We start from the raw sequence: 22,422 nt of genomic DNA, 5'->3' as shown, positions 1-22,422 counted from the left end.
CTTCCTCCCGCTCCCCACCCCCAAACGTGTACACACATACATGCACACACCACTTACACACACATACACACATACATGCACACACTGCTTACACACACATACACATGAATGCAGGCAGGTGCATGCAGACACACACCAGCAGCTCACCCTCCCCTGATGCCTGTGACCCTCCTTCCAGTCCCTGCTCTCTATACCAGAGACAGTGAACAGGCCTCGCCAGAGAAGCACCTCCACCACTCCCGGAGCCCCCAGTTCCTGAGAGGAGGAAGGCTCCTCCCCTGCCCCTCCTCTGCTCCTCCTCTGCCCCTTCCCCTCTTTTCTTTAAGAGCCTGTGGTGCTCCGAGGATAAGCCACAGGCGATGACATCCGAGTGTTGATAGAAAGATCAACACTCTTTATAAAGATAACATCCCCTCTTGTTGGGTCTGGAAACTGTTCCTGCCCAGCACTCATCTGCTCCAGTTAGTGGAGGGGGGTTCCCTGACGCCACCCAGCCCTGTGCACACTGCCCAGTGCCCTAGGGCACGGTGAGTGCCAGGCCTGTAGTCCCAGGGACGTGCCTGTGTCCCTATGGGCGGGTGCCCCTGGGGATGGGCCCTGGTGACAAGGGTTCACCAGGGTGTGTCCTCAGGGCCTCAGCGGGGTCAGGTCTGCTGCTCCGCCTGTATTACCGGTGCTCCTCCCCAGGCAGGGCACATCCTGGCTCTCAGCCCCGCTGTGGGCCTTCTGACACGTGGGCTCTGTGGATCTTTGGCATGCAGCACGGGGTCTCTGTCAACTGCCTTCTTGGGGCTGCTGTGATGCCATTGTGAGCCCAGGGAGAGGTTTAGTTCCAGCAGCAGGCAGGGCATCAGAGTGGCTGCGCCTCGCTGGGGGAGGCAGGGAGGCTTCGCTGCTACCCGAGCTCCCGGCTAGCCTCATGCTCTGTTGTCCTCACTGGAGAGGCCAAGGCCGGGCCCTTAAGGTCAGGGCAGGCGTGGGAGGGCAGAGGAAAGCTCTGCCAGGGAGGTCACTCCAGGGCTTCCAGCACCCACGGCTCTGCCAGGCCATGGGGAGCAGCCCCTGCAGGCCCTCTCCAGGGGTCCCAATCCTCAGCCCCCACGTTCTCTCCCCAGGTCCCCCTTCCTGGGATGCTGTGACTCCCTGGCCTCTGTGCTCCCTGGGGTCTCATTCACCTGCCGGGTGGAGCAGGGGGGACCCTAGGCCTCCAGGAGGCCCCCTGCCCTCCCCATTCTAGCCCCATCCCACAGGGAAAGGGCAGTGACTCTGCGGGTGGAGTGAGTGGGTGCACAGCCTCCCCAGCCCTCGGGCCGAGTCCCTGGAGGGGCTCCCAGCTGGGTGGAGGGGAGTGGGAGAGACTGGATCAGCATCGCCAGGTTGGACTGGGGACACACTGGCCTGACCAGGACAGGTCCTCTGGTGACTACGGTGGCGGAGGAAGAGCAGGCCCTACCTCGGGCTCCCGGGAGCTCTCCAGGGTCCTGGATGGCCGAGGGATCTGCTTCAGCCTCTCCCACGCTGCCCCAGCAGCCCTGCCCCTCCCCTCTCCTCCCATCCGTCAGCTCCCCTTTCACTCCTCCCTTGCCTGTTCCTGTGACCTGCCTGGCCACTCTGGGGACCCCAGGTGTGCTCAGCAGCCCCACCCCCGGGGGCTAGAGCCAGAGCCCATGTGAGGAGGCGCGGGGGGGCACACTCGCCAGGAGCCCATGTGAGGAGGCGCCGGGGGGGCACACTCGCCAGGAGCCCATGTGAGGCACAGGGGGCACACTCACCAGGAGCCCCTGGGGGAAAGGCTCTGGTCAGTCCACTCCACGTGGTGCGGCTAAGGCCCCTCGTGCTTTCTCCTGCAGAGTGCCCGGTGGGGACGTTTGGCGTGAACTGCTCGAGCTCCTGCTCCTGTGGGGGGGCCCCCTGCCACGGGGTCACGGGGCAGTGCCGGTGTCCGCCGGGGAGGACTGGGGAAGACTGTGAGGCAGGTGAGTGTCAGCCGCAGCCCCAGTTCCGCCTCCCCAGGCTGCACGGCTCCAAGCTGGTGGGGCCCTGAACTGTGGGGGCCCCAGCCCTGCGGATCCCAGGCCCGTCTATAGCAGGTGTGAGAGCTCACAGTGCACTCCCCTGGGGTAGGGAGGGGGGGTCTGTGGCTGCCCCACCAAGTTCCTGGGGCTTCCAGGCTGCCCTCTCGGGCTGCTCCCTCTCTGCATGAGGCTCCATCTCTAACGGGCTCGGCTCCTTGTGTTGCCAGCTGAACGGTGCCGGGGGCTGGGGGTCCTCTACTGTGGGTGCGCACCCCGCAGCCTGCAGCCCCAGGAGGTGCCCGGGTCCTCTCCCCTCCCCGGGGCAGGCTGAGATGGTAACAGTGGTTCCACCTCCTCGGCCGTGGCTCCAGGGGCATCGTGCCATGTTATGTTGATGTGTTGAGCAAGGGCAGCTTGGGCACTGACTGGCCATGGGGGTGGGCACTAGATTGTCCCGAGGGCCGCTGGGGGCTGGGCTGCCAGGAGATCTGCCCAGCATGCCAGCACGCTGCCCGCTGCGACCCTGAGACCGGAGCCTGCCTGTGCCTCCCTGGCTTCGTCGGCAGCCGCTGCCAGGACGGTGAGTGAGCTGGAGCTGCCCCTGAGCCTTTGACCTGGGGTAGGTGGCCAGGCCCCACTCACCCTCTCTCGCCTGCCTGTAGTGTGCCCAGCAGGCTGGTATGGTCCCAGCTGCCAGACAAGGTGCTCTTGTGCCAATGATGGGCACTGCCACCCAGCCACCGGACACTGCAGCTGTGCCCCCGGGTGGACCGGCTTTAGCTGCCAGAGAGGTACGGGGGCCCTTGGCTTGCCCTTTGTCCAGACATCCCTCCTTTCCTAGCCCCTGGAGAGGCCTCTGCCCAGGGCCCCCGAGGACTAGGGGCTTGCAGGAGGCCTTGCCCCAGTCCTGAGACGCCCCTGTGCCTGACTCGGCTGTGGTGCCCGTGGCCCGCGCTTGGGCCTGCGCCGGGTGACCCTGAGTTCTGTTGCAGCCTGTGATACTGGGCACTGGGGACCTGACTGCAGCCACCCCTGCAACTGCAGCGCTGGCCACGGGAGCTGTGATGCCATCAGCGGCCTGTGTCTGTGTGAGGCTGGCTACGTGGGCCCGCGGTGCGAGCAGCGTGAGTCCCGGCCCTGCCTTTGGCTGCCACCCTCCTGAGTGCGCACACGCACACATATGCACACGTGCACACACACAAAGCCTTTGACCGTACTCCCTCCTGCACGCACACACACGAAGCCTTTGGCCGCGCCCCCTCCTGTGCGCGCACACACCCACCAAAACGTGCAGGCACGCACATGCGCACTGCGGCTGGGCCCTGGCCTGGCTTCCTCTGCCTTTCCTGAGCTTTCCCAGCCCCCACTGCTCTGCTTCGCAGCCTGGACCAAGGTCCCACCCTCTCACCGACCTGCACCAGGCTCACTTGGAGCCGCAGCAGGAGGGGGCAGGGTCTGTCCCCCACTGTGGGAGGCCTGGCACCTGGGGGATGGAGAAGGGGTCTGCTTAGGACTGAGGCTGGTATCCCTCAGTGTGTGCCCCCGAGGCTTGGTTGGTGGAATCGGGGGAGGCCTGGGTTGGGCGTCCTACGGACAGCCCCTGGGGAGGTTCCCATCCCTAAAGCTGATGCCTGGAGCCCCCTCAAGCCTCCCATGGCCCCACCTGGGTGGGGGATGAAGCATGTGAGTGAGCCCAGTCTCCCTTGGGCAGGAAGGGGCTTCTCATGAGCCAGGCCTGTCCCACAGTCCTGGGGATGGCGGCAAGGCCCGGGCACGGCTGGGTCAGGCTCCTGGCCCTCTGGCTGACTGTGGGCCGGGGCTGCATATCTCAGAGTGTCCCCAGGGCCACTTTGGGCCCGGCTGTGAGCAGCGGTGCCAGTGTCAGCATGGAGCAGCCTGTGACCACGTCAGCGGGGCCTGCACCTGCCCGGCCGGCTGGAGGGGCACCTTCTGCGAGCATGGTGAGCTACGGCACAGGCGGGGGCTAGGCTGGGTGGCCTCCAGTGTGGGCCCCTCCACATCACTGCCCGCTGTCTGCAGCCTGCCCGGCCGGCTTCTTTGGATTGGACTGTCGCAGTGCCTGCAACTGCACCGCCGGAGCTGCCTGTGATGCCGTGAATGGCTCCTGCCTCTGCCCCGCTGGCCGCCGGGGCCCCCGCTGTGCCGAGAGTGCGTGAGGTCCCTGCTCAGCCCGGGGTGCTGCAGGAGGGGGTGCCAGGTCCTCCGTAGGAGACTCCCTCCTGCCACCTGTCCTGAGTGTCTGAAGCTACCAGGCAACCCCCCTGAGAGTGATGCTTTGCTCACTCGGGCCAGAGCGTTGGTCCTTTTTTGTGGCCACTCTGCTGAGTGGGTGGCCTGAGCCAGAGGGAGGGGAGAGTTGGCCATAGCAGCCGAGGGGACCCCGGCAGATCTGCCCAGCTGGCTGTGATCTGCTGCCAACCCCTGGGGTCCTGCCCACCCCTGGCTCTGACCAGCCCTCTCCACCTGCAGCCTGCCCAGCCCACACCTACGGGCACAATTGCAGCCAGGCCTGTGCCTGCTTTAACGGGGCCTCCTGTGACCCTGTCCACGGGCAGTGCCACTGTGCCCCTGGCTGGATGGGGCCCTCCTGCCTGCAGGGTAAGCCACATCTAGGAGTCCAGGGACCGGGGTCCAGGCCTGAGCGAGGGTGCTGGCCTCTTGCAGGGCCCACAGGACACTTGGTGCCTGGGGGAGGGAGGAAGGGGCTGTTAGGACTGAGGACCGTGCCTTTCACCTGTGCCCCTCTCCAGGCAGGGATGGGGAGTGAGGCTGGGCTGGCAGGTCATCCTAGGGGCAGCCCCCTGCAAGGTGCCTGACCCCAAAGTCCAACATGGGGCTGGAAAGCCAGACAGACCCTGTGGGGCCAGCTGGCTGGGGGATGCAGGTTGCTCCCTCTTCCCTGGCCCCAGCCTGCCCTGCCGGCCTGTACGGCGACAACTGTCGGCATTCCTGCCTCTGCCAGAACGGAGGGACCTGTGACCCTGTCTCAGGCCACTGTGCGTGCCCAGAGGGCTGGGCCGGCCTGGCCTGTGAGAAGGGTGAGCGCTGGGCGGCAGAGGAGGGACATACCCCAGCATGCTTGGTGCAGCCCCGCCTGCAGGCCTAGGAGGGCTCCCAGGTCAGGGGGCAGCGCCCTGGGGTGTAGGCTTCAGCTCTGCGTGCAGGAAGCATGGGTCAGGGTCTCCTGGGCCCAGGAGGCAGGACCCTCACCCTCGTGCCTGCCTCTGCTCCTGTAGAGTGCCTCCCCCGGGACGTCAGAGCTGGCTGCCGGCACAGCGGCGGTTGCCTCAACGGGGGCCTGTGTGACCCGCACACGGGCCGCTGCCTCTGCCCAGCCGGCTGGACTGGGGACAAGTGTCAGAGCCGTGAGTGGGGCGGGGCAGCAGGGGGGTCTGCAGGCCCTGCTGGGAAGGGGTGGCATCAGCCTTACTGCAGGGCTGAGGACTGTGCCCGGTTTGGGGCCTCACCAGGGGACCTGTTGTCCTGTGAATGCAAGAGCTGCCGTCGGAGCACTAAGACCCTGTTGGGAGGGTCTCAGCCTAGGAAGCTGGCCTGTGGGGACAGAGTGCTGCTGCTTTGCCTTGGCAGGGGTAGCCCCAGCCAGCCCTGTGGTGGGTGGAACGGAGGATGCTTTGGGGCTCAGGGGGCCGTTCCTGTTTCCTGCATGCAGAGAGGGGCCCCTTCACCCCTTGTCCTGGAGCCTGTGCTGGCTGGGGGCCTCCTGCCAGTGGGAGTCTGGCTGTGGCTGCTGTGCCGGCAGGGCCTGGTCCACCCAGCGGGGCCTCAGCCCCTCCAGAGCCCAGACATGCAAGGGCAACACTGCCTCATTCCTCAAAGCCCCGGCCTCCCACCCAAGCCCCTAACACGAGCCCCCCTTCCAGCAGAGGCGCCGTCCCCACTGCTTGGGGTACAACTTGGGCGGTCCCTTGCTCAGGTCAGGAGCCTTGGGTCTGCTGTCTGAGGGGGGCCTGGGCACTCGGCTGGCCTCAGGGCTGTCGCTGGCTCCCGTCGCCTCAGTGCTGAGCCCCGGCTGCTGTCTCCCGGCTCCTTCGCCTTCCATGGGGCGGGGCTGCCAGAGGCTGAGCTCTCAGCCCTATCTGTCTCGTCCCTGCAGCCTGTGCCAAGGGCACATTCGGGCCTCACTGTGAGGGGCGCTGTGCCTGCCGGTGGGGAGGCCCCTGCCACCTTGCCACCGGGGCCTGCCTCTGCCCTCCGGGGTGGCGGGGGGCTCCAGGTGTGAGAATGGTGAGCACAGCCCCCAGTTCAGCCAGCATTGGGTGGGTCGTACCCACAGCACCTGCTCCCGGCCTGTCCTGGCCCACAGATCCCCACGGGCCCCTCCTAGAAGCCTCCGCAGCCCTCATCTTTCTGCAGCCTGCCTGCGGGGCTGGTTTGGAGAGGCCTGTGCCCAGCGCTGCAGCTGCCCGCCTGGCGCTGCCTGCCACCACGTCACTGGGGCCTGCCGCTGTCCCCCTGGCTTCACTGGCTCCGGCTGCGAGCAGGGTAGGTGCTCCCAAGCCCCCACCCCGAGGAGCGGCTGGGCAGGGGGAATCCAGAGAGGCTGCCTGTTCCTTGGCGGGGCTGGGCCAGGACCGACCCTGCCTGTCTCCACCCAGCCTGCCCACCCGGCAGCTTTGGGGAGGACTGTGCGCAGATGTGCCAGTGTCCCGGTGAGAACCCGGCCTGCCACCCTGCCACCGGGACCTGCTCATGTGCTGCTGGCTACCACGGCCCCAGCTGCCAGCAACGTGAGTGCTGCCCGTGCCCACCCAGGGACTCGGCAGTGCTGCCTGGCGTGCTGGGCCCCAGTTCCCCTGGTCCCCGGGAAGGCCCTCATCTGAGGGGGTGGAAGATGGAGGGTGTGGGGGTCTCATGAGAGCTGCCTTGCTGTGTTCAGGGGCACTGGGGAAGCCTCCAGCCCCAGCCCCTGCAGCTAGCCCCTCTCCCTGCAGGATGTCCGCCCGGGCGGTATGGGCCAGGCTGTGAACAGCTGTGTGGGTGTCTCAACGGGGGCTCCTGTGATGCGGCCACGGGGGCCTGCCGCTGCCCCACTGGGTTCCTCGGGACGGACTGCAACCTCAGTGAGTGGCTGGTGGCAGCAGTGCTGAGTGGCGCCTCCTGTGTCTCCAGGGTAGGGCCAGCCAGCCTGCAGGAGGATGGCCCCCGACTGCCCACCTCCCTGCCCTTCAGCCCCCTCTGGCTGGGCCTGGCCCCAAGTGGGGCTAAGCCAGAGGGGCAGAAAGGACCTGCAGCGCTGGGGGTGTCTATGTGGCCCCAGGTCCCACAGGCTTCTGCTAGCTCTGCCCCTGCACCTGCTGTGCCCGGCGACCTGCGCCATGTCTGCCAGGGGCTTGAGCACAGCCAGGCACAGAGGTCAGCCAGGCAGCTCAACTGTGGCCAAGCGTCCTGCTGGGAAACGGGCCTCTTCCCTCAGTCATGCAGGGACTTTCCCCTTCTGGGACCCCAGCAGAGCTGGCGGGGTGGGCGGGGGTGGCAGTGAGTCACTGCAGAGCAGGCGGCAGTGGCCTGGCCCCCAGCAGGCCTGCGGGTGGAAGGGAGATGCCAGGGTGGGTGCATGAGAGTTGGCTGGCCCCACCCTGTCTGGGGCAGACCCAGGGTCCCCTCACCCCATCCCATCCTGTCCTATCCCCACTCCGGGGTTGACCGGGCAGGGAGAGAAGGGAAGCCAGCCACGATCACCACTTCCTCCCCGGCAGCCTGTCCGCAGGGCCGCTTCGGCCCCAACTGCACCCACGTGTGTGGGTGTGGGCAGGGGGCGGCCTGCGACCCTGTGACCGGCACCTGCCTCTGCCCCCCGGGGAGAGCCGGCGTCCGCTGTGAGCGAGGTGAGTGTTCACTCCAGAGGGCATGCTCACAGGCCCTTCACAGAGATGTCACTGGATTAGCCGTGGGGACACTGGAGGGGTGGGCCCAGCCCAGACACCCGCACATCCTGGCTGCCACCAGCTCCCCACTTGACCCTGGGGCTGAGATGAGAGTGCTGTAGCTTGTGTTGACTACGCTGCCCTGCTTGGGGGAATGGACCGTCCCATGCCACCCCAGCCCCTACCTCGACACTCAGCCCCCGAGGCTCAGGCCACCCAGTGACCCCATCCTCATAGAGGTGGCCGTGGGGGCTGCAGGTTCCTACCCAGCGCCTGCCTGGCCCCTTGCAGAAGGGATTGGGTGGCTGTCTTCTGCCCGAGGGTGGAGTCCTTCTGGCCCTTTCTGCCAGGCCCAGGGCTCAGGGACCAAAGTGGAAGTGGGCCTAGAGCACAGTCAAGAGTAGAGAGATGGGCTGGACCCAGGGGACAGGCGTAGTGGCTCCTGCTCAGACAGGCCCAGTGCTCATGAACACAGCCACAGCCTCTTGGCCTGGTCCCACCCTTAGTCTGCATCAAGGGACTGGCTGCCCCCACAGCAGTTCTTGGCCTTCTGGGCTCATTGGGAGCCTGTGGCAGCAGAGGGTTCAGGATCCCAGGGCTCAGGCCCCAGCTGGGATGTAGCTTGGCCCCGCCTCACTCCCAGGAAGGATAGTGCCATCAGGCCGGTCATCAGGCATCCGGCTGTAACAGCAGGGCTACAGCCAGCCACCTCTGAGCCCACGGCAGCCCAGCCACGCTACTTCTCAGGCCTGAAGGATGTGCCTTCACTCCCAAGCGGGAGACAGCTGGTTCACAGTGGGCCGCTGCCTCCGTGAAGCCTTCTGTGAACCCCTTCCTGCAGGCTGGGCAGGCGCTCACCCAGCCCCTTCATGACTGAGCCACCCTCAGTTCCTAGACCAGGCCTGGCACTTGGCAGCCTGAGATGACCAAGGAATGAGAGGATGCGGCTGGTGCCACTCCCTGGCATGTGCCCGCCCAGCAGGCAGAGACTGGCACTGATGGGCCTCAGGAAGCATTTACCGAGTGACTGTCAGCCTGTGGGGACATATCCCCAGAGGGAGCCCAGCCCTCGGCCAGAGCTCCAGGCAGCACCTGCCTTCTGTCTCCAGGCTGCCCCCAGAACCGGTTTGGCGTGGGCTGCGAGCACACCTGCTCCTGCAGAAATGGGGGCCTGTGCCACGCCAGCAACGGCAGCTGCTCCTGTGGCCTGGGCTGGACGGGGCGGCACTGCGAGCTGGGTGAGTGTGCGGGGCCAGCGGGACCCCAGCATCCCCTCAGGGAGGTGCCCTGGGCTGCCATAGGGCTGGGCAAGGCTGGTGCCGAAGGACTGCCCACCCTGCCCTGTCCCCAGCCTGTCCCCCTGGGCGCTACGGAGCCGCCTGCCATCTGGAGTGCTCCTGCCACAACAACAGCACGTGTGAGCCTGCCACGGGCACCTGCCGCTGCGGCCCCGGCTTCTATGGCCAGGCCTGCGAGCACCGTGAGTTGGGGGCCTGTGCAGCTGGGCTGGGGCCCCTTTGAGCCACTGTCCACTCCTCCCGTGTGGGTGATCCAGGCAGCAGTGAAGTGGTGGGGAGGTGGGGAGCCAGCAGCAGTGGGGAGGGACGAGGACGGGCAGGAGGGGGCTTTTCTCGGGCCCCTGGATTGGCGGGTTTTACTCACTCTGGGCAAACTGGACATTTCTGCCACCGTGTGCCCTTGTCTCGTGGTAACCGGCGTCCTTCAGCCTGTCCCCCTGGCTTCCACGGGGCTGGCTGCCAGGGGTTGTGCTGGTGTCAACATGGAGCCCCCTGCGACCCCATCAGTGGCCGATGCCTCTGCCCTGCCGGCTTCCACGGCCACTTCTGTGAGAGGGGTGAGTGCTTGGTGCCTCCCTGAACCCCCGCTCCCTGGCCCCGTCCCGTCTGGGTGCAGGACAGGAGGGGGACACTGAGCCCACTGCCCCCACCAGGGTGTGAGCCAGGTTCATTTGGAGAGGGCTGCCACCAGCGCTGTGACTGTGACGGGGGGGCACCCTGTGACCCTGTCACCGGTCTCTGCCTTTGCCCACCAGGGCGCTCAGGAGCCACCTGTAACCTGGGTGAGTCTGGGGTCCTGCCCAGGAAGGGCGTGGGTGTGGGTCTCCATCAGTGACCAATATTGATTGGTTGGGCCCTACCTGTGCCAGTCCTGGGCTGGCCACCAACCCCTCTTGTTGCCTCTGCACCTGGACTGTGCCCCCTGGGGGGGCTGGAGTCAGCTGCTGGGACATGCGGTACCAAGCATGGCCCTCCTGCTGGAGCCTTAGGCCAGGCCCTGCCGTGTGGCCCCCACAACGTCCCAGGAAGGCCATGGTCATGGGAGGGGGCTCTGGTTGGGTGGAAAGACTTCCCTGATCTGCCAGCTGTGGACTGGGGGACATCAAGGGGGCTGTGGCCCCTCCAGCCCAGAGGGCCCCACCTGAGGATAGGAGGGTCTCACCTGAGGATAGGAGGGACCCACCTGAGGATAGGAGGGGCTCACCTGAGGATAGCAGGGGCTCACCTGAGGATAGGAGGGACCCACCTGAGGATAGGAGGGGCTCACCTGAGGATAAGAGGGGCTCACCTGAGGATAGGAGGGGCTCACCTGAGGATAGGAGGGACCCACCTGAGGATAGGAGGGGCTCACCTGAGGATAGCAGGGGCTCACCTGAGGATAGGAGGGACCCACCTGAGGATAGGAGGGGCTCACCTGCTGGGGCTGCTTACCTGGCCTTGTGGCTCTCAGGCCTGTTGTGCCCTGAGGGGGCATCCCTGAACACTGGCTCCTGTTTGCCCTCCTGGGGCGGGGCAGGAACTCGGTGGTGACTCTGGACGTGTGCCTGGGGCCTGGGCTTTCTCATGCAGGAGCTCACTGGCTGCAGAATGTAGCTGAGGAAGGCAGGGCAGGGACTGTTTACTCCTCAGGGGAAACCGAGGCCCAAGGTCTTAGCTCCCGCACACACCCAGGCAGAAGGCTTCACTCCACCTGGGCTCTGCCGCGGGCCCCTAGGCCCAGGCTCCTTGGCGCGGGGAAGGCAAGGATGATGCTCAGGTTTGTCTCCCGCCCCCTCCGCCTTGCAGATTGCAGAAGGGGCCAGTTTGGGCCCAGCTGCACCCTGCACTGTGACTGCGGGGGTGGGGCTGACTGCGACCCTGTCAGTGGGCAGTGTCACTGTGTGGATGGCTACATGGGGCCCACGTGCCGGGAAGGTGAGCTGGGCTTCCTGGGGAAGGGCGGGAAGGCACCATCCCCCAATCAGCCTCAGCTCCACCCTGGCAGAGGATCCCTCTCTCACCCACTGCGGAGTTGGCCGGGTCACCCTATGGCTATTCAGACATAGCGAATGTCATCTGTCCCCACCCGGTACCCAGAGTGTCACTTGGCTTCTGATGGGTGGAGTGTGAGCTTCACAGTCACTTAACCAGGGGACAGGGGTGGGCCATGCTGCCAGCTGGAAACAGCCCATCTTTCCCAGCCCCAACAGCTGCAAGGGTGGGCTGCAAACTGCACCGGGGGCCTGAAGAGGGTCATGACCCCATGGCTGGGCTGGACCATCCACAGTGTGGATGGACGCTGGCCATCCCTGCCCCTCCTGCCCCCCATACACGTGCACCAGGGTGTGAGGGTGTGTCTGTGCACGCACGTGCAACAGTGCGTACAGCAGGGTGTGTGTGCATGTGTGCCAGTACATGTGTGTGGCACCCAGTGTGTGCCAGTCCACGCACGCAGTCCTGCACGGGCAGCAGGCACCTGTGCGTGCCAGTCCACGCACGCAGTCCTGCACAGGCAGCAGGCACCTGTGCGTGCCAGTGCCTGTGTGTTACGTGTGCATCAGTGTGTGAATGTAGCCAGTGCGTCTGCGCAATAGTGCATGCATGTGCGGCAGGGGGCACAGGCGTGTGTGCCGGGCATGTGTGAGCGTGCTCCAGCACCTGTGTGAGGGTGGCTCCTTAGCACCACCTTCAGGACCCTGAGGCTGTCCTGGAATGTGCTCTCTGCCTGCAGGCAGTGCTTTTGGGATGCCCCCACCCCTCTGGCCAGCCCAGACTTTGCTGCCCGCACCCCCCCCCCCACCCCCGCACCGTGTACCCCCCAGCGGTGTTGGGAAAGGTTGTCTCTGCAGAGGGAAGTGGGAGGCAGGCTTGGGGCCTGTGCGGGGCAAGACATGTGGGCGGGGCAAAGGCCGGGCGCCAGGCTGCAGGCTCTGCTTTTTGGCTAACTGGGGATTTCACACTTGGGGTCCTCCGCTTGGAGGCCCCCAAATAGTCTTGACTTTGTGTATGTGTGCATCTGTTTGTGCCTTTCTAAGGCAGTCCTGGCTGCAGATTGTTCAGAGCCTTAAGACAGGGGAGCCCCCATCTCGGTGGAGCGGGGCGGGGCGAGGAGAGGAGGGGCGGGGCAGCAGCCTGTGCGCTGGTGCAGGGACAAAAGGCTGCCCGGCAGCGGCATCTAGTGGTCATCTGTGGTACTGCACCGCCGGCTGCCGGCACCTGCGCTGGGTGCCGGGTGCCGGGGGCAGTGCCTTGACATTGAGCTGGAGGCCTCAGGAGCCTGGGGCCCCATGGGCAGTGTGTTGCTGGGCGTGGGGAGTCCTGGGTCCTGCGCCCTCCCCTGGAGTGGACTTGGCTTGGCGTTCGGTAAAGCCCCTGATGTCGCGGGTAGTAGAGGCTTGGAGGGGCTGAGAGCTTTCCTATGGGGAGAGGGAGAGCCCCCCCCCCCAGCTCCCGCCCCCGTTCCTTCCCCGAGTGCAAAGGACTGAGAAGGGAAGGAGACTGTGCGGGGGAAGTGGAGGTCCCTGAAGGCCTGGATGGGGTCACGCCTTGCTGCCATTACTGTGGCTCACTCAAGGCTGGGGGTACTAACATGGCCTGCTCTCTCTCCCCTCCAGGTGGGCCCCTCCGGCTCCCCGAGAACCCGTCCTTAGCCCAGGGCTCAGGTAAGGGGTGTGGGGAATGCCCGTGGGCTTGCCAGGAGGGTGGGTTATGGCAAAGTCAACGAAGAGTGCTTAAGTATAATCTGGGCCCCACAGGGCAGCAGCTGCACCCGGGGCCTTGGGCCCCAGGAATCTGGAGCTCAGAGACCAAGGCTGGGGCCAGAGCTGGGAAGGACAGGCTGGGAAGGATGGGTGGGCCCCACCCACCTGCTGGGCTGAGCTGCTGAAGGGAGGGGTGGGAGGGAGAGGTGCCAACCCAGAACCCAGTCTGTTCTGGGAGCACCCGCCCCACCCTGGACTGGCCCTCTTTTCTCCTTTTCCCCAGCGGGCACACTGCCCGCCTCCAGCAGACCCACATCCCGGAGCGGTGGACCAGCGAGGCACTAGTAGAGGCAGTCCCGTGGAGCCCGCCTCTCCAGTCCCAGCCAGAGGGGACCCTGGCCTTTGGTGACCACTGAGAAGGACACTTCACGGGCCCAGAGCTCCTGGTACTGCCCTTCCTTTGAGGGCCGTGGAGGGCTGTGGACAGCCCAGCAACCTGTCGCTCTTGGAGGCTGGTGTGGCCTTGAGGAGGGAAGCCTCGCATGGCCGCTGGAAGAGAGGCGCCTCCTGGCCTGGCTCTGCAGAACCCAGGGGCACGCTCTGGGCCTGGGCTGAGGAAGTCCCGCTCTCCCCGCGGCTCTGAGTTGGACTGAGGACAGGTGTGGGCGCCAGTGTGGGTGCAGGCGCAGGTGCAGGCACAGGGCCACTGTCCTCCAGGCAGGCTTTTTGGTGCTAGGCCCTGGGACTGGAAGTCGCCCAGCCCGTATTTATGTAAAGGTATTTATGGGCCACTGCACATGCCCGCTGCAGCCCTGGGATCAGCTGGAAGCTGCCTGTCATCTCCTGCCCAATCCCCAGAAACCCTGATTCAGGTCTGCAGGCTCCTGCGGGCTCACCAGGCTGCTGGCTCCGGTACCATGTAAACCTAGGAAGGTAAAGGAGCAGGCAACCTCCTCGTGGCCTGTGTGTTTGCTGTGTTACGTGGACTCTGTGTGGGCTCCTCCCTGGGGCCCGGCCAGCATAACGGTGCACCCAGGGACCTCCCAGTGCACCCGGGGCCCTTTGCAGGGGTGGGGGTGCCACACAAGTGAAGAAGTTGGGACTCATCTCAGTTCCCAGTGCTATTGAGGAGAACGCTGGGGCTGCATTCATTACCGCTGAGACCCAGAGACTGGCTGTTCCCAGAGAATGGCCCAGGGGGAGGAGGGCTGGTGTGGAGGGGCAACCTGGACTGAGGCCGAACTCCCTTGGGCTCACCCCACCCACCCCTACCTGAGCATCAGCAGTGGGGGGAGGGCAGCATCGCAGGGGCAGGGACTCCCTGGGTGAGGACAGACCAGCCCTCCCGAGCACCTGGCACTCATGGGCTGAGGCTGACTTCTCCTGGAAGAAGGGCCCAGAGTGGAAGGAAGAGGCAGAGGGTAGAGGTGGTGGCTGGGGGCTCCTCTGCAGAGTGGGGTGGCCAATGGAGAGGGCTGCACTCACACCGCAACATAGGACTCTCTCTCCCTTAAGAAGGCCCCCTTAGGGTCTGGGCTGCCGCCCCCATCACCCTAAAACCAGCCAAGGTAGCTGAGGCCCCAGGGCAGACAATTTCACCAGCAGGAGGAGGAGGAGTCCAGTGAGCTTGGTTGCTCACAGACAGCAAGGGAGCTGTCACAGAGGAAGCTGATGAATGGACCGCTGTGGGGAGACTTTAAAGTAGAACAGTGATAAGGGAGGGCAGGATGGTGGGGATGCAGAAGCAGCAGCCAGAGAGAGACGGACTGGGGTGCAGACGGAGTGTGGAAAACGCATACCTTGAAATGAAGCATCCAGCAGATGGGGTGAGTGGATACAGCTCAGGAGATTCTCCCAGGAATAGCAGGGAGGCGTAAAGAGAGACAACGTACAGAGATAGATGAATGGAAATGGGTAAGGGAGGTGTTCATTCACATCCATCTAACTGCAAAATACAAAAGTAAGAAGTCATTGACATGAAGCAACGACGACCAAGACGTTCTCAGATCTAAAGGTGAATGATCTCAGTCAGCCTGGAAATGCACAAGGTGGAAAAATAACATAAAAAAGCCATAAGACCTTGAAGAACATCAATGTCAAAGATAAATTCTAAAGTCCCAGAGAAAAAAGAATGGGAATCAAATTGACCTCAGACTATACGTGAGAAACACGGAGAGCCAGAAAACTGTGATGTTCCATCCTCAGAGTTTGAAGGAAATATTTGAAGGCTGAATTTTACATCCAGCTAAACTATCAAAGGCATGCAAAGTCCATGTTATTCTTAGGCCTTCAAGGCCTCGGCCATTTTTCTACAGAAAAGCCTGATTTTAAAATGCTCTTAGAGACGTTCTCCAGCCAGAAGAGAAAGAAGCCAGGAGGGTGCTCTGAGATATTCAGTCACCACAGTTCCCAAATGGCCTAGGAATTCAGAGAGTCAGAATATCACCATTACTCCCCAATGGGAACCCCCGACAGTCTCAGCATGGTGTGAGGGTGTGGACGGGGGGCCTGGCAGGTACCAATCACTCATCCCGCTCAGTGAAGACACAGTGTTCAGCTACGGAAGCCATAAGGCAGGCCGAGCTTCTGCCCATCCGGAGGAAATCTCAGCTATCCAACGGCGGTCAGGAGCAGAGGAAAATAAAGCAGAATAACTAGAAAACACGCTCACAGATCCTAATGTTAACGGTTACAAATGACGACGGAAAAACAAACTCCTGACCATATATTATATAGTTTCAAGCAGCAAGAAGGAGGATATTGAACATTCTCAACACACATAATAAACGCTTGAGATGATGATATGCTCATTACCCTGATTTGATCACTAGACATCCCATGTATCAAAACATCACTGTGTATCCGATGAATATCTACAATTATTGTCAATTAAAAACATCATTAAAAACAGACTAGACTGCATTAAAAATATACTAAATAGTATTTTTACTATAAAAGACATGCTTCAAAGGGTAGAAACACAGACATGCAGAGTAAACCAAAGGAGAATTAGGGCAGGCGTTTGAATATTTCAGGGTAAGAAGCATCGTAACAGTCTGTAAATATACATACACATACACGCACCCAACAATGAGGCTCGAACATTCATCCAGCAGTGATGGATAGAGCAGGTAGAAATAGCTGTCATGGGTGATTTGAACGTGCACTTTACAAAAACCAATAGTTTAAGCAAGTAAGACATAGCAATGGTAACCTGAATAAGCTTGCACACACACGGTACATCTGTGTTTATACTTACATGTTTACTGTGTTCACATACACACACCTTTTCAGCTTAACAACATTTATAAAATTACAGGGTACACATGCAGTTTTGTTACATGGACATAGCATATGGTGGAAGAGTCTGGGCTTTAGTGTTACCATTACTGAGTAGTGTACATTCTGCCCATGAAGTAATTTCTCATCCCTCCCTGCCACCCTCCCACCCTTCCAGTCTCCAATGTCTGTTATTCCCCTCTCTGTCTGTCTGTACACGTTATTTAGCTCCCACATATAAGGGAGAGCATGCAGTATTTGACTTTGTTTCTGAGTTATTTCACCTAAGATAGTGGTCTTCAGTTCCATCCATGTTGCTGGAACAGTCATGATTTCATTCTTCTTTATGGCTGAGTAGTCGTCCATGGTGTGTGTGCATGCAATACTGCATGTCCGTACTACATGGAATGCAGATATATATATATATATATATATATATATATATATATATATATGATATGTAAAACTCACACATGCGTGCACACACACACACCTCCACACACATCTTTATCCAGTCATCCACTGATGGACACAGGTTAATTCCATATCTTTGCTCGTGTGAACAGTGCTGTGATAAACACATAAGTGTGAGCATCTTTTTGATATAATGAATTCCTTTCATTTGTGCAGGTGCCCTGTGGTGTGATTGCTGGATGGAATGGGAGTTCCATTTTTAGTTCTTTGAGAAAAACCATAACATTTTCCATACAGGCTAAGTGAGTTCACATTCCCACCAACAGTGTATATGCATTCCCTTTTGTCTGCATCCTCAACATGTTATATTTTTGACTTTTTAATAATAGCCATTCTGACGGTGTGAGATGATATCTCATTGTGGTTTTATTTTTATTTTTATTTTTTGAGACAGGGTCTCACTCTGCCACCCGTGTTGGAGTGCAGTGGCGCCATCTCGACTCACTGCAACCTCCGCTTCCAGGGTTCAAGCAATCCTCCCACTTTAGCCTCCCAGGAAGCTAACTACAGGTGCAAGCCACCACGCCCAGCTAATTTTTGTATTTTCTTTTTGTAGAGATGGGATTTTGCCATGTTGCCCAGGCTGGTCTCGAACTCCTGAGCTCATGTGATCTGACTGCCTCAGCTTTCCAAAGTGCTGGGATTACAGGTGCGAACCACTGCACTCGGCCTCGTGGCTTTAATTCACATTTCTCTGATGATAAGTGATACTCACACTTACATTTCTGTGTATAAACTTTACATTCAGCAGGTGCAGAATAATGGAACGCTTAAGAAAACCGAAATTTCCTTCTTTGAAGACTAAGAAGCAAGAAAGCACCTTGCAAGACTGATTTTTTAAACACGAGAGAAAAAAATACACAAGAGTTAACTACAAACACAATAGAGAAGAAGGTATAAAAATTATGAGCAGCTATGTACCAATAACTTGGAAAACACTTAGAAAAATGATAAACTGGGGGAAAAATGCCGAGACTGGTGTAAACGGAGGTTAAAAATGCGAATCAGGCAGTGGCCTAAGAAGAGGCGAAGAGCCGTGGGAGAGCCGCTCCTTCCCTCCGCTCAGCCCCAGGAATCCTGGCACAGCTGTAGCATGCATGGTTACACCAGGTGTATACCATACATTTGTCAACCAGGACTCGTTCCAGAAATTTTTTTTTTTTTTTTTTTTTTTTTTTTTTTTTTTTTGAGACAGAGTCTCGCTCTGTCGCCCAGGCTGGAGTGCAGTGGCTCGATCTTAGCTCACTGCAGGCTCCGCCTCCCGGGTTCATGCCATTCTCCTGCCTCAGCCTCTTGAGTAGCTGGGACTACAGGTGCCCGCCACCACGCCCAGCTAACTTTTTTTTATTTTTAGTAGAGACGGGGTTTCACTGTGTTAGCCAGGATGGTCTCGATCTCTTGACCTCATGATCCGCCCGCCTCGGCCTCCCAAAGTGCTGGGATTACAGGCGTGAGCCACTGCACCTGGCCCAGAAATTTTAAATGGAGGAAAAACAGCTCACCTCATCCCACAAAGGCAGCGGAAACTTGGCTCTAAAACCAAGAGAGGACAGTAACAAGTAAAGTAACTGCAGACTCATTCCATGTAGGCAAAAATCCTAGATCAAATATTAGCTATCCAAATAAGAGTATTTTACCAAGAACACTGGCCTGACCGAATGGACTGGATCGAATGCAAGGACGGTTTCACATCAGAAAATGCGTCGGTGCATTTGGGTGAGAAGAGAAATCAGATGACTGTATTGATGGCAGCAGGAAGAACGTTGGACAGAGTTCAATGCCTGTTTGGGATAGGCATTCTTGGAAACCTGAGAAAGGACCTCTTTTGATAGTGGTTAGGTGCAAGAGTCATGTTCAGGGGAGAAACCGATGAATTCAGGTCTGTGCAAAAGATGCCGCCCAGCGGGGCCTGCCGTGCCCACTGGGGTGACAGTCGTCTGGTCCTGCTATACCTCCTCCCAGCCTTCTGCTCTTCAGAGCCCTGCCGTGACATCCCATGTCTGTGCTAGGCCTTCCCCATCAGAGCACAAACTCGGGAGGCAGGGGCTTCGCTGTATACCTGGACCACCTGGAACCGGACCTGGGTAGAGCGCGGTGAGTGTCGTCACAGGAGTGAATAAAGTCAAATCAGAAGATGCCTGCATCAGCCTCACTGCCCCCCACCGCCCCAGCAGGCAGTATCTTCAGATGAGGAGAAGCAACTGAGGTATAAGGATCTCAGGGGAAGACACACCTGCCGTGGTTCTCAGGGGACAGGATTATCTCCACGGAAAACCCCAAAGGGCTAACAGACATTGCTATAGCTGATGATAAGGATTCAGCAAGGTTGGCAATAAAATCCTATAAAGCATGGAAAATGTACAACATGTATAAAACCTATAACATCGATAGTGCTTCAACACCAACAATAACTGACAAGAAAACTACAAAATAAGACACCGTTCAACATGGCAATAAAACCTGGAAATCTACGGGAATGTATCTGGCGAAAGAATTTCTGGATTCTTTCAATTCTTCTGATACAGTTTATAAAGACCTCAAAAGGCCTGACAAATGACAACTGGAAGGCAAATGTGACATGAAAAAATGTCACTTCCCAGCTATGTCAGATGCATTCCAGTTTGCTGGAAAGGCCCAGCGACAGAGCCCACAGGTGGCATCTGGTGGGCAACCTGCCATGTCTGAAATGGACAAAGGTCTGGGGTCAAGAATGGCAGAGCTGAGCTAGAGAGAGGAGGACCGAGCCGAGCCAGAGGAGGACCGAGCCGAGCCGGAGAAGGGAGGACCGAGCCGAGCCGGAGAGGGGAGGAGATGGGCAGAATTCACGGAGACCCCACAGCCAAGGCCAAGTGTACGGAGAAGGCCCATCTCGCGAAGACCAGAGATCTGCACATCAAAACACCGGTCTACGGCTTACGCCCACCAGCAAAAGTTGGAGGCCAAGGGCTCTGAGTAAATGTGGGGTGAGGACCCCCCATGAACCGCCGGGGTCCCAGGGCCAGCCCTGGAGCCGGCGGCAGTCCGGTCATCGGAGGCCCCGGGGCCCGGCCAGCAGTGCCTCTGCCAGACACCAGGTGGCGTGAGAGGAAGGTGTGCGGCAGGCTGGGGAAGGGGAGTCCCTGCAGAGGACACCGCCAGGGTGGGGCATGTTCTGGAATGTTCCGGAGGGGAAAGATGAGCAGAGCCGCTCAGATAGATCCTAAAACGTGGTTGGGCAACAGCAGGAACTAGGATGAGGTCATGTGAGTGCGCACCCTGTGTACAAATTCCCGGTCACAGGACAGCAGCAGGGGCTCTGTGGGCTGAGGATACACATGGCACACCGGACGGGGTGGCGGGGACACGGGGGTGGGATGGAGGGATGTGCTCACGGTGGGGCTCTGGACCTGCAAGGTGACAGACCCAACTCCGTGCCTGGACAGAGGGACTGGTGGCCTGTCCCATCTCTGGCTGGACGGAGGGACCGGTGGCCTGTCGAGTCTGATGGCTGTCCCGGCCTAGCTGGGGCGGCCACTCCCGCGTGGCTTCTGTGCTCCTGTGAACCACACCCCCCTTGCTCCCCTGGCCGCAGGAAAGGTTAGGTGGTGCCTGTCTGGACCCAGCAGTGTCCACTCTGTGCCCGCCCAGGGCTGGGCACTGAAGTTTGCCAAGATGAACCCCAGCCCTCGGCCTGGGCTATCCTGCCCAGGGTGGCCTTGGGGACAGGGCTTGGGCGCAAGGCCTCAGCAGCAGCCCCCTCCCACTGCCCTGCATCCACACAGCCCCCACAGCACCCCAGGCCAACAATGGCCTGAAGGATGGGCTGGGACACCAAGCACTGTGGGCACCCTGGCAACCTACTCGGGGCACAGGCCTTGTTGGCTAGACGGGTGTCTTTAGAGCCCTGATAGCCCCCTGCAGTGGGAAGAGGGTCTTTGGGCCTCAGTTTCACCCCCTGCAACAGGAGGGTCTGTGCAGCCAGAGAGCTACCCAGGCTATGTGGCTGCACAGGAGGGCTGAGCAAGGTAAGCCCTGTCTGTCTCCTGGGACCCCTCTCCAGCTGAGCCCGTGTGGCAGAGCCCCCGCAGGAGCCCTATTATCTGACTGTGGGCGGGGAAGTGTCCCTGGACCCCAACACTGGAAGTACGGGACAGGCTGAGGTTCCATGAGGAGAGTGAGCAAGAAGACCCCGGGGAGGGGGTGATCGTCCTGGGGGTCCAGGCTGGCTCTGTCCTGCTGAGGGGGCCATAGCACCTGGGCCAGTGAAGGCGGCACCCCAGGCTGAGCAGGGGCCCTCGGACGGGCGTGAGCTGGCACTGGTGCTGGGGACGGGGCTACACAAGCCTGTGGCCCCCTCTCCTGACGCCCCTCCTGCCCATAGGTCTCGCCCCTGCCTGGGCCCACACCTCACTGGCAGCCCAGGCCTGCGCTTCCTGACTCTGCCGGGAGGGGCTCTCGTCCTGAGCAGGCCTGAACTGGGCCCTCCCCAGGTTGCCCCAGATGCCCCCAACAACAGCCTGGCCACTGCCATAGCAGGACAGCCACCCAGCCTGGGCCCGGACCCCCTCCCTGCAGGCTGAGCATTCTCACTGCCCGCTAAAACGCAGAGGCTGCTGTAGCCACTTGCAGACGGAACTGAGGCGCAGAGGCTGAGTCACCTGCCCCAGGTCACATACGTGAGAGTGAGGTCACAGAGTCAGAGGCCAGGCTTTCCAGATCCGCCTTGCTCCGTGAGCTGAGCATGAACTTGGCAGTGAGAACCGCCCGGAGGCTGCAGGGCAGCTGGGTTTACACGAAACTGCTGCCCCCTGGCTACCCGCCCCCCCGCCCCCCAACACACACGCACACACAGAGACAGGCATGCTAGCACACATGCACACACCACCTGCCAACACACATGCCCTGCCCTGGCTGCCAGTTTGCTCCCACAGGAGCTCCAGGAAAAGCCCAGGGAGTAACCAGTTCACAGGCAGGACAGCGGAGGCTGGAGATGCCACGCTGGGCGTGGAGGAGCTGGCCCCATCTCAGGGGATTCTGCTCCCAGGTGCCTCCTCTTTCCCAGAGCCCTGGCTGTGCCCCGCCCTGCGAGGCGGCCGCTGACCAAAGCCCTGCCCAGGACAGTCCTGCGTGGGCTCCGAGCCTGGACTGGGCCATTGCTGCTGCCCAAGGCCATGGAGGTGACCGGGAGAGGAGCTGGCCCTCCTCGCACTGCACGGCCCTCCAGACCTCGCCTCCTCCCCTAAGCCCTGGTCCAGCAGGCGGGGGCTGGGAGCAGCGTGTTCTTTCAGCCCACCCCACCTCTCATGCACCAGGTCCTGCAGCTGCCCCAAGCCTGGGAGGGGTGGAGGGCAGTCTCCTATCACCATTTCTGGTTGGCATATGGGGTAGATGCACCCCTGACTTTCCTGCAGAAGCCAGGGCCCCAGACCCAGGAGGATCAGGGCAGATTCTCAGGTGTATGCTGGGTGCTCCCTCCCTGAGGACAGCATTACCCAAGCCCACAAAGGCAACGGGCATTGGCGTCGGACACAGGAGGGCTGGTGGGGGCTTCCTGGGACAGAGAGGACCAGTCCTCCTCTTGCTGTGCCACCCCAGGTCAGCCGACTGGCTCAGGGACTGCCTCTTCTGCCTGCAGCTCCCAGGACGAGATGGCTGGGAGGAAAAACTGGGAGGGAGGTGGGGCCTGTCTCCAACCCTGGGGACACTGCAGAGGGATCCCCAAAAGCTCTACTGAATCCCGGAGTCCTCTAAACCACTGGCCAGCCTGGGCCCTGCAAGGCGCAGCTGTGCC

The 22,422-nt window shown here is 61.0% G+C and overlaps 1 protein-coding gene across 23 annotated transcripts in view, besides 6 other annotated features; it reads left to right on the top strand.

Moving 5' to 3' along the window:
* MEGF6 (multiple EGF like domains 6) overlaps window positions 1-15,821 on the top strand; it is a 136,836-nt gene extending 121,015 nt beyond the window's left edge. For 6 of the 23 annotated variants that reach the window (XM_047448220.1, XM_047448228.1, XM_047448215.1 and 3 more), the window contains 19 exons: window positions 1,851-1,976; window positions 2,464-2,595; window positions 2,678-2,806; window positions 3,008-3,139; window positions 3,848-3,976; window positions 4,056-4,184; window positions 4,506-4,634; window positions 4,946-5,074; window positions 5,273-5,401; window positions 6,411-6,539; window positions 6,989-7,117; window positions 7,754-7,882; window positions 9,031-9,159; window positions 9,273-9,401; window positions 9,648-9,776; window positions 9,873-10,001; window positions 11,005-11,133; window positions 12,813-12,860; window positions 13,183-15,821. In XM_047448220.1, the coding sequence (XP_047304176.1) occupies window positions 1,851-1,976; window positions 2,464-2,595; window positions 2,678-2,806; window positions 3,008-3,139; window positions 3,848-3,976; window positions 4,056-4,184; window positions 4,506-4,634; window positions 4,946-5,074; window positions 5,273-5,401; window positions 6,411-6,539; window positions 6,989-7,117; window positions 7,754-7,882; window positions 9,031-9,159; window positions 9,273-9,401; window positions 9,648-9,776; window positions 9,873-10,001; window positions 11,005-11,133; window positions 12,813-12,860; window positions 13,183-13,244 (2,306 nt within the window). In that variant the 3' untranslated portion in view covers window positions 13,245-15,821. The other 17 variants (XM_047448229.1, XM_047448232.1, XM_047448221.1 and 14 more) reach the window with 6 other exon arrangements.
* Window positions 11,102-11,626: an enhancer, noted in NCBI's record as "H3K27ac-H3K4me1 hESC enhancer chr1:3408710-3409234 (GRCh37/hg19 assembly coordinates)". NCBI's record gives its function as "activates a minimal SCP1, AML or CMV promoter by ChIP-STARR-seq in primed H9 embryonic stem cells {active_cell/tissue: H9 hESC(primed)}" and the evidence as "EXISTENCE:reporter gene assay evidence [ECO:0000049][PMID:30033119]".
* Window positions 11,627-12,152: an enhancer, noted in NCBI's record as "H3K27ac-H3K4me1 hESC enhancer chr1:3408184-3408709 (GRCh37/hg19 assembly coordinates)". NCBI's record gives its function as "activates a minimal SCP1, AML or CMV promoter by ChIP-STARR-seq in primed H9 embryonic stem cells {active_cell/tissue: H9 hESC(primed)}" and the evidence as "EXISTENCE:reporter gene assay evidence [ECO:0000049][PMID:30033119]".
* Window positions 12,272-12,401: a silencer, noted in NCBI's record as "silent region_120". NCBI's record gives its function as "represses an Ori minimal core promoter by ATAC-STARR-seq in GM12878 lymphoblastoid cells {active_cell/tissue: GM12878}" and the evidence as "EXISTENCE:reporter gene assay evidence [ECO:0000049][PMID:35858748]".
* Window positions 12,422-12,471: a silencer, noted in NCBI's record as "silent region_119". NCBI's record gives its function as "represses an Ori minimal core promoter by ATAC-STARR-seq in GM12878 lymphoblastoid cells {active_cell/tissue: GM12878}" and the evidence as "EXISTENCE:reporter gene assay evidence [ECO:0000049][PMID:35858748]".
* Window positions 19,007-19,841: an enhancer, noted in NCBI's record as "H3K27ac-H3K4me1 hESC enhancer chr1:3400495-3401329 (GRCh37/hg19 assembly coordinates)". NCBI's record gives its function as "activates a minimal SCP1, AML or CMV promoter by ChIP-STARR-seq in naive and primed H9 embryonic stem cells {active_cell/tissue: H9 hESC(naive and primed)}" and the evidence as "EXISTENCE:reporter gene assay evidence [ECO:0000049][PMID:30033119]".
* Window positions 19,842-20,677: an enhancer, noted in NCBI's record as "H3K27ac-H3K4me1 hESC enhancer chr1:3399659-3400494 (GRCh37/hg19 assembly coordinates)". NCBI's record gives its function as "activates a minimal SCP1, AML or CMV promoter by ChIP-STARR-seq in primed H9 embryonic stem cells {active_cell/tissue: H9 hESC(primed)}" and the evidence as "EXISTENCE:reporter gene assay evidence [ECO:0000049][PMID:30033119]".

The sequence above is a fragment of the Homo sapiens genome, chromosome 1 (genome assembly GCF_000001405.40).
Source record: "Homo sapiens chromosome 1, GRCh38.p14 Primary Assembly".
In the NCBI taxonomy this organism is placed as follows: domain Eukaryota; kingdom Metazoa; phylum Chordata; class Mammalia; order Primates; family Hominidae; genus Homo; species Homo sapiens.
Note: the sequence above shows the minus strand (reverse complement) of the source record. Positions and strands in the feature narration are given on the sequence as shown.